This window comes from Homo sapiens, chromosome 20 (assembly GCF_000001405.40).
Source record: "Homo sapiens chromosome 20, GRCh38.p14 Primary Assembly".
In the NCBI taxonomy this organism is placed as follows: Eukaryota; Metazoa; Chordata; class Mammalia; order Primates; family Hominidae; genus Homo; species Homo sapiens.
The window spans coordinates 55101533-55103735 of record NC_000020.11 but is presented as its reverse complement, the minus strand read 5'-3'; the positions used below and the strand labels follow the sequence as shown (position 1 = coordinate 55103735).

General features: G+C 39.1%; 1 annotated feature.

Moving 5' to 3' along the window:
* Window positions 337–1241: an enhancer, noted in NCBI's record as "NANOG-H3K27ac hESC enhancer chr20:53719034-53719938 (GRCh37/hg19 assembly coordinates)". NCBI's record gives its function as "activates a minimal SCP1, AML or CMV promoter by ChIP-STARR-seq in naive H9 embryonic stem cells {active_cell/tissue: H9 hESC(naive)}" and the evidence as "EXISTENCE:reporter gene assay evidence [ECO:0000049][PMID:30033119]".

The following is a 2203-nucleotide window of genomic DNA, read 5'->3' as shown; positions in this document are numbered from 1 at the left end:
CTTTTTGTGTCATTGATCTTTCATATTGCTGTTTCTTTTAATCTCTATTTCATTTATTTTTCTCTGATATTTATTCTTTCCTTCTACTATTTTTTGGTTTGGTTTGTTCTTTCTTTTTTAATTCCCTGAGGTGCATTGTTAGGTTGTTTATTTGAAGTGTTTCTACCTTTTTGATGTTGGGATTTATTGCTATTGAGAGAGAAGAAAGGAAAAAACCCAGGCAGTTAGGGTGGGTCCTCAGCTGAATTCTTTCAAATAAAAGAACAGCCTGCAGGCATAGATAAGGGAACTCTCACAGTGGGGCTTGCCAAAGACACGCCCACAGCCACACAGATAAGAAAGATTATAGAGGTGACTTTCCGGGAAGTGCCCAGGATGGAAAATTCTTCCCCCTACACATGTTCAGTAAGGGTAATAAAGAAATATGGAGTAAATCAAGCTAAGGGTCCACATGCACATTAGGAGGACAGGGTGAAGCTACCAGAAATGCATGCCTTATGCAAATGAGACACCCAGCCCTCATTGGTTTCTTATAAAAGCTTTTGCATTCAACTGTGAAAATGGAAACCCTCTTCTGGGTCCCCTCTGTGCAGTGAAGAGCCTTCTTCTTTCACTTATTAAACTTTCCCTCCAACCTCACCCTTGATGTCCATGCTCCTTAACTTTCTTGGTGGTGAGACAAAGAACATCAGGCAATGAGATACTGCTACATCGTGGTAGATTGGCGAGGCTATAACACTAACAACTTCCCTCTTAGAACTGCTTTTGCTGTAGCCCATAGGTTTTAGTATTCTGTGCTTCCAATTTCATTGGTCTCAAATAATTTTTTTTTTTTTTTGAGATGGAGTCTCGCTCTGTCACCCAGGCTGGAGTGCAGTGGCACAATCTTGGCTCACTGCAAACTCTGCCTCCCGGGTTCACACCATTCTCCTGCCCCAGCCTCCCAAGTAGCTGGGACTACAGGTGCCCACCACCAAGCCTGGCTAATTTTTTGTATTTTTGGTACAGACAGGGTTTCACCATGTTAGCCAGGATGGTCTCAACCTCCTAACTTCGTGATCCGCCTGCCTCAGCCTCCCAAAGTGCTGGGATTACAGGCATGAGCCACCATGCCCAGACAAAAGAATTTTTAGATTACCTGTTTAATTTCTTCATTGACCCATTTGTTGTTTAGGAACAGGATGTTTAATTTCCAAAAAAAACAAAAAAAACAAAACAGTAAGATCTCAAGCAAAAGATAACTAGAAGATGCTAACACCAAGATGACAATTATGTTAGAATTCTCTGACAAGGCTTCTAAAACAGCCATCATAAAAATACTTTAAAAAGAAATTGCAAATATTACTGAAATAAAAATTAGTATGTTCCAGCTGAGGACTAAACTCTAATTTTTTTTTATCTTGCCCAAATTCCTATTTAAGGAGTCTGGGGAGTCATGCCCTACAAATCATTAAATTCTCATTAGATGGGTTTTATTTAACCCTATGTATCTGACTTACTTTCCAATCTGACTCTGGAATAACATTATGTGACAAAGAAGAAAGTCAAAATATTTTACCCCAAAAAATGTTTCTTTGCCATATCTTGAAATGGCTATGCAAAGCTGTCCATTGTCAGGGGAAATTTACATCTGTGAAGAATCTCTATTAACATAGCTAGATCCTTTTCTTCCAGGCTCTCCCAATCCTAAAGAGATTAACCAAGAGTCTAGCACCTTTTAAAGATCTGAATAGGAAACATTTGTCATCTACTGTCTCTAAGGGCAGCCACTATAACACCTCAAAAGAACCTTGGTCTCCACAATCTTTTATCTTAAACTGAACATTTCCTTTCTGTGATCCCAGGTCTTTAGATAAACTCAACCAATTGTCAACTAGAAAGTGTTTAAATTTACCTATAGCCTGGAAGCCCTTGCTTTGAGTTGTCCCGCCTTTCTGGACCAAACCAATGTATTTCTTAACTGTATTTCATTGCTGTCTCATGCGTCCCTAAAATGTATCAATGTATAAAACCAAGCTGCACCCCAAATACTTTGGGCACATGTTCTTAGGACTTCCTGAGGGCTGCGTCATGGGCCATGGTCACTCATATTTGGCTCAGAATGAATCTCTTCAAATATTTTACTGTTTTCATTGACACAGCAAAGAAATAGAAGATACAAAGCAGAACTAAATGGAAATTTTAGAACTTGAAAAATGCAACA